The sequence below is a fragment of the Homo sapiens genome, chromosome 3 (genome assembly GCF_000001405.40).
Source record: "Homo sapiens chromosome 3, GRCh38.p14 Primary Assembly".
In the NCBI taxonomy this organism is placed as follows: Eukaryota; Metazoa; Chordata; class Mammalia; order Primates; family Hominidae; genus Homo; species Homo sapiens.
Window position 1 is genome coordinate 126,076,994 of NC_000003.12, and position 6,913 is coordinate 126,083,906.

At 48.9% G+C, this 6,913-nt stretch overlaps 1 protein-coding gene across 21 annotated transcripts in view, besides 1 other annotated feature; it reads right to left on the reverse strand.

Moving 5' to 3' along the window:
• The window catches only part of SLC41A3 (solute carrier family 41 member 3), a 95,164-nt gene that overhangs the window by 70,637 nt on the left and 17,614 nt on the right, over positions 1 to 6,913 (reverse strand). The gene's annotated exons all lie outside the window — the stretch shown is intronic.
• Positions 6,779 to 6,888: a silencer, noted in NCBI's record as "silent region_14672". NCBI's record gives its function as "represses an Ori minimal core promoter by ATAC-STARR-seq in GM12878 lymphoblastoid cells {active_cell/tissue: GM12878}" and the evidence as "EXISTENCE:reporter gene assay evidence [ECO:0000049][PMID:35858748]".

A 6,913-nucleotide genomic window follows, 5' to 3' on the forward strand; every position in this document is an offset into this window, starting at 1 on the left:
CCTTTCCTTTCCAAAATGAAAATAACTGGATTATTTTTCCAATTACAAAAGTGACATGTGTTAATAAAAAATATAATTTAGACAATACAAAATAATATAACGAGGCTGGGCACGATGCTCATGCCTGTAATACCAGCACTTTGGGAGCTAGAGGCAGGTGGATCACTTGAGGCTAGGAGTTTGAGACCAGCTTGGCCAACATGGTGAGACCTCATCTCTATCAAAAAATACAAAAAATTAGCCAGGTGTGGTGATGCACACCTGTAGTCCCAGTTACTCAGGAGGCTGACGCAGGAGAATCACTTGAACCTGGGAGGCGGAAGCTGCAGTGAGCTGAAATCGCACCACTGCACTCCAGCCTAGGGGACAGAGTAAGACTCTGTCTCAAAAATAAATAAATAAATAAATAAAATAACACTTTAAAAATCACTGACAATTTCACTATTCCAAAATAATCAGTGCAAGTCTAGTGTATATCCTTCCAATGTTTACCCACACAGACACAGGCCCACACACTCACTGTTTTTTTTAATCCATGTTCTAGATCCTGGATTTTATTTGATAGAAAGTATACATCTCTGGCCCGTGTTCAGTAAAATGTCTACATGCCTGCTTGTCATCCTTGCTTGTCAATCACAGTTTCAGGTAAGGAATGAGGTGGTAGGCTTATGCCTCCCAACTGCTGGTAAAACATTTTCCCAAGGAATTTATGGATTCAGGAGGAGCTGACGGAAGAACTGAACAGGGATGTGTGCCCCACACTGTGCCTTGCAGCAGGGAGAAGCTGAGAGTCATGGCGCCTCTTGCCTCCTCCGTGCTTCCTTCTCAGGGGCCTGAATGGAGCAGGTGATGAGTTAGCAAAGGAGCCGCCGGCCTGGGCGACTGTGATGTGCAGTGGGGACAGGGCACAGGGAGGCATCTCGAGTTGGCGGCACCCTCGGTGGCAGGAACGGTGCCCCTCATCCAGCCCAGAGAACCTGGGCCCAGGCGGCACCGGTGTGGCTCCAAGAGGCAATAAACAGAGATGGGAACTGCCTACTCCCACCTGCCTCCCACCTCCCTGAAGGACCTGCAGGGGCCCAATGCCAGGGGCAGAAAATGCCTCCCTCTCACCACACCAGGCCCCTCCAACTCTCCACCCCACTCCCACAGGCAGGAATGGCCACTCTCCTGGCTAGGCAAGGCCACTGCTGCATCCCTTAGGTCCTAACAGCAGAACCCATTCCACCTTCCTCATGACCTTCTCGTCCTCAACCTTCCAGCCTGACCCCTCAGGCCAGACCAGCCATTTTCTTTAAATTCCTATCACATCCTCTGTAGCAATGCTGGTAAAACTGAGCCAGGCTCACACTGGAAGCCTGGAGATCATGGAGAGACAGCTAGTGGAGAAGAAAGGAGAGGAGGAGGACTTGGACCCTGCCCACACTGGGAGGAACCCGTACCACACAGAGCTGAGCTATCGGCCGGCTCTCCAGGCCCCACTCTGCTTCTCTGGGTGGAAGCCCCAGAACCATGAGGAGGAAGGATGCTTGGCAGAACAGGGTGGGGATCATGGGGTCCCTGCAATGCCAGATCCCTAATCTTTTCAAAAAATAACAGACACAGCTACCGATGACCTATGCAGTATGCCTTTACCTCCTTTAATCCTTACGGGACTGTGGGAAGGCTAGACTATTAACGATCACTTTACGCAGAAGAGGAAACAGAGAATTAAAAGAGCACCAGAAAGGCCAGTGTCTCCCCTAGGCCTGGGACCCTACCAGGGTCCTCTCAAGGGGTCGCACCTACAAGGAACCCCTCTCTCCTGCCTCCTCAGTTTCTCCCCTCTACCTCTGTGGGATCATCTGATGAGAACAGAAACTTGCTCTAGGATCTGCCTCTATAAACCCAGCCTTGACGTCAAGCTATCTCTCACTTCATTCCCCTCCTCCTCTTCATGGCAAAACTATACAAAGAATCATGCCCACAGTGTGTTCTCACCTCCCCTCCTCTTCTCCTGATGCAAACTGTTCTTGCCAAGGCCAGTGGTCACCCGAGCAATGCTACAGGCACCCAGACGCCCAAGGCTTATGGACAGGAACAAAGAGAGGTGGTTAACTTTTCCCAGCTCCCTCTGCCAGAAAGGCAGGGCTTGGATGTCCTGAGCAACCAGGGAAGTGGACAGCCAGAAAAAAATTTGAACCTAAATCAGGGATTTAAACTCCTTAAGGTAAGGGAAACACACACACACACACACACACACACACCCACACACGATCAGGGATTTAAATTCCTTAAGGGTAAGGGACACACACACACACACACACACACACAATAGAAAGCAAAAACCAAAGGGGAAAAATGATTAATTTAGCTACATCAAAGTTTAAATATTCTGTAGGACAAAACTTCTAAATAAAATTTAAAAGCAAGCAAAAGCCTAGGAGAAAATAGTTGGACCCAATACAAGAGACAAAGGATAAGTGTGCAAAAAGAATGAAGAACTCCTACAGAGAAAACCATGGAGAAACTGACACAGGATGGGAACAAGAGCTCAGCTGGAGAAACACAAAGGCAGCCTAGACAGCCACCTGAGAAGAGGTTAGGGAAATAAAAATGAAAGCCGATGGAAAGATACATTATGTTTGAGGAATGGAAGAATTTCAATGAAAATGACAATTTTACCCAACGCAATTTACAGATTCAATGCAATCACTACCAAAATACCAATGTCATTCTTCACAGAAATAGAAAAAACAATTCTAAAATTTATATGTAACTACAATAGACCCCAAATAGCCAAAGCAATCCTGAGCAAAAAGAATAAAGCTTGAAGCATCATAGTGACTTCAAAATATACTACAAAGCTGTAGTAACCAAATCAGCATGGTACTGGCAGACACATAAGCCAATGGACAGAAGAGAGAACCTAGATATAAATCCACACACTTATAGCCAACTCATTTTTGACAAATGCACAAGGAACATACTCTGGGGAAAGGACAGTCTCCTCAATAGATGGACTGGAAAAACAGGATATCCATATACAGAAGAATGAAACTAGACCCCTATTTCTCACTATATTAAAAAATCACATCAAAACAGATTAAAGGCTTATATGATTTAAAACCATGAAACTACTAGTAGAAAATATTGGGGAAATTTTGCAGGACATTGGTCTGGGCAGACTTTTTGTGTAAGACCTCAAAAACACAGGCAACCAAAGCAAAAATAGACAAATGGGATTACATCAAGCTAAAAAGTTTCTGCACAGCAAAGGAAACAACAAAGTGAAAAAATAACCCACAGAATGGAAGAAAATATCTGAAACCACTCATCTCACAAGGGATTAATAACCAGAATATATAGTACCAGGAATTCAAACAACTCAATATAAAAAAAATCCAATTAAAATATGGCCAAAAGATCTGAATAGATATTTCTCAAAAGAAGACATAAATGGCTCACATATATGCAAAAAGTACTCAACATCACTAATCATGAGAGAAATGCAAGTCAAAGCCACAATGAGATATTATCCCACCCCATTTTAAATGGCTTTTATAAAAAAGACAGGGAATAATGGACACTGGTAAGGATGTGGAGAAAGTGTTCCTCGTACACTGTTAGTGGGAATGTAAACTAGTTCAGCCACTATGGAGAACAGTATGGAAGTTCCTTTAAAAACTAAAAGCAAGCCAGATGCAGTGGCTCAAGCCTGTAATCCCAGCACTTTGGGAGGCCAAGGTGGGAGAATAACTTGAGGCCAGGAGCTTGAGACCAGCCTGGCCAACATGCCAAAACCCCATCTCTACTAAAATACAAAAAATTAGCTGGGTGTGGTGACACACGCCTGTAGTTCCAGCTACTTGGGAGGCTGAGGCATGAGAGTCACTTGAACCCAGGAGGTGGAGGTTGTGGTGAGCTGAGATTGTGCCACTGCACTCTAGCCTGGGCAACAGAGCGAGATTCCATCTCTGAAAAAAAAAAACAAACTAAAAACAGAACTACCATATGATCCGGCAATCCCACTAATGGGTACATATCCAAAAGAAAGGAAACCAGGATATTGAAGAGATATCTGTACCCCATGTTTCTTGCAGCACTATTCACAATAGCTAAGATATGGATCAACCTAAGTTTCCATACCAGATGAAAGGATAAAGAAGATGCGGTACATATACACAATGGAGTACTATTCAGCCATAAAGAAGAATGAGATCCTGTCATCTGCAACAATATAGATGGAACTGGAGGTCATTACATTCAGTGAAATAAGCCGTGGACAGAAAGACAAACATCACATGGCCTCACTCATATGTGAGCGCTGAAGGAGGGGATCTCAAGGAGGTAGAAAGTTCAATGGTTACCAAAGCCTGTGGCGGGACAGGGGGAAAAAGGGAGGATGGTTAATGGCTAGAAATACACAGTTTGATGGAAGAAATAAGAAATCGTGTTTGATGAATCAATACAGTGACTATAGTTTACAATAATCTATTTTATATTTCGGAATAGCTAGAATTCAAATGTTTCTGGAATAAAAGACCAATCTCTAAAATGATGGATGTCTATATTGCACTGATTTGATCTTTACAAGTTACATGAACGTGTTAAATTATCACAGGCAACTCAAAAATATGTACATCTATTATGTGTCAATAAAATTTTTTTAATATAAATAAATGAACCTGGTGTGATGCACCTCACCTCACCACCACTAGGGCAAGGGGTGGGGAGAAGGGCCTGGAACACAGCCACAGGGCTCTGGGTCTGCCTCTGCCAGAGGCAACTGGGCAGTGACCACTCCAGGCCACACATCCTCACTCAGCCACAGTCTTGGTGAGTCACTCACACGCGTGCCTGAGGAGGTTAACCCAAGAGTGCGCAGCCACTGTGCTTGGTGACAGCAAACACCAGAGCGGCAGGTGCTGGCGCAGCCCTGATCCGTGATTCATGCTGGGAACACGTGTGCAGCTGTACCTAGAGAGCCCCAGCCCTGGTCCACCCTCACTGTGCCTGCACATGGTGCCAGAGGAAGGCCTGGCCAGGGTGACCCGGGAGCAGGGCCCAGCTGGTGTCAGCACCACACCTGCTCTGTGCCCCTTGCAGGGTGGGGGATCTCCCAGCTGTGGACATGGCCAAAGGCCCCTCAGCTCCACCTGAATGTTGGAGTGTTTGCAAGGAGAACATGCTCCAATGTCCCTGTGTCACTGACAGCTCGTGCAGATGAACAACCAAGCACAGGCTGGAGGAGGCTCCTGTGGGAAAGTGGGCTGTGGGCCAGGAAACCTCTAATCCCAGAGCCCCAGGGAGGAGCCAAGATGCCAGAAGATGCCAGTGGAGGCATTGCCTCCAAGGTCCCCACAGAGGACATTGGGCAATGTCTGCACATGGTTTTGGTTGTCCCGACAGGGGGTGATACAGGACAGCCCCCCAAAACAAAGAACTGCCCCACCCCAAATGTCAGTAGTGTGGAGGCCGAGAAACCCTGCTATGGGGCAGTGGTCAGAGACCCTTGTGCCTTGAAAGGGGCTAGGCTGGGCAGGACAGGTTGTGGACCACCTGGGGCCACAGTTCAGAGCCACGCCTGAGTCTGTGAGGCTGCCCACCCTCCCAGCTGCCAGCATGGGGTTGGGGGGTATCCGCCCCCATCAGACTGAGGAGGAAACGGACACTCTGTCACCCAGAAGCATCCCTGTGTCACCCTGTGAGGTTGGCCTTGGACCCAGGCCTCTAGGCGCCCCGTCAGCACCCCAGTGCGAACACATCCTGCCCGGGGACCTGGACCCAGCAGCTCACACAGACCAGGGCTCGCCCAAAGGCAGGCAGGCAGGGCCACTGCTGACCACGCACCTGGCTGGTCGTGATTCTGGAACTAATGGTTTCTGCCTGGCAGGGAGGCCGCCAGGACCTCTGGGCTTCACCCCTCCCCACCTTCACAGGGGACCTCGCCTCAGTGGGAATGTTCTGGAGCCGGAACCCAAGGTTGGAATCCCAGCTCCTCCCCTTTCTAGGTCTGTGACCTTGGAAAAATTAAACTTTCTGTACCTCTGTTGCCTAATCTGTGAAATGGGGTAATACTACCTACTGTGTAGGGCTGTGAAGATTAAATGGAGTCATGCATTATCATCACAGGGCACCTGGCCCATCCTCAACCCCAGTTCAGACTCCTCAAAGCCCTAAGGTTTCAGATCAATGGTCAGAACCACGAGGAGGACCTGCTAAAGACAAGTATGGGGACCCACCCCCAAGGTTTAGGATTTAGAAGGTCAGGGTGGGGCTGGGGAACCCGCATTTCTAGCAGATCTCAGGAAAGGCAGTGCTGCTGGTCCTGGGACCACAGTTTGAAAACCACTGGTGTAAAAAAAGCCTTCTAAAAAAAAGTGGGATTTGATCACTAAAGTCATATGGAAAAAACTGGAAGAAAGAGGAAAAAATAAACAAATAAATAACGGGATTTTAAAGAGACCTATCCCACCGGCTCTCCTGGATGGAGAGAGTGTGGGACTCTGAGACAGACTCCCGGCTGGGCACCCCCAGGAGGTTTTCTTCACCAGAGGTTTGCACCGAGCCCACCCAGGACAGTGGGCTGAGCCTGTGGTAGAGGCTGGCGGGAGGTCTGGCTGAGGCAGCGAGGGGTCCCTGCGCGCGGGCGCTGCAGGAGTCACGCGTGTGACATCCAACCAGGAGCCGTGCCCTGAGCAGGCCAGGAAGGAGGAGACAGGGCCGCTGAATGCACACCGCAGCGGTGTGGGGAGCGGCCTCAGACACCTAAGGGTAGGACCGGCCGGCTCCCCCGCGACCCCCAGCGCCTGGGTTCTCTCCCGGCCTCCCCGAGGCGTGGCCTACCCCAGGCATGGCCCCACCCCGCCCCAGGCCGCCCCTCCGACCCCTCGTGTTTACCTCATCTCCCGCGCGCCTTTCCCCCACCGAG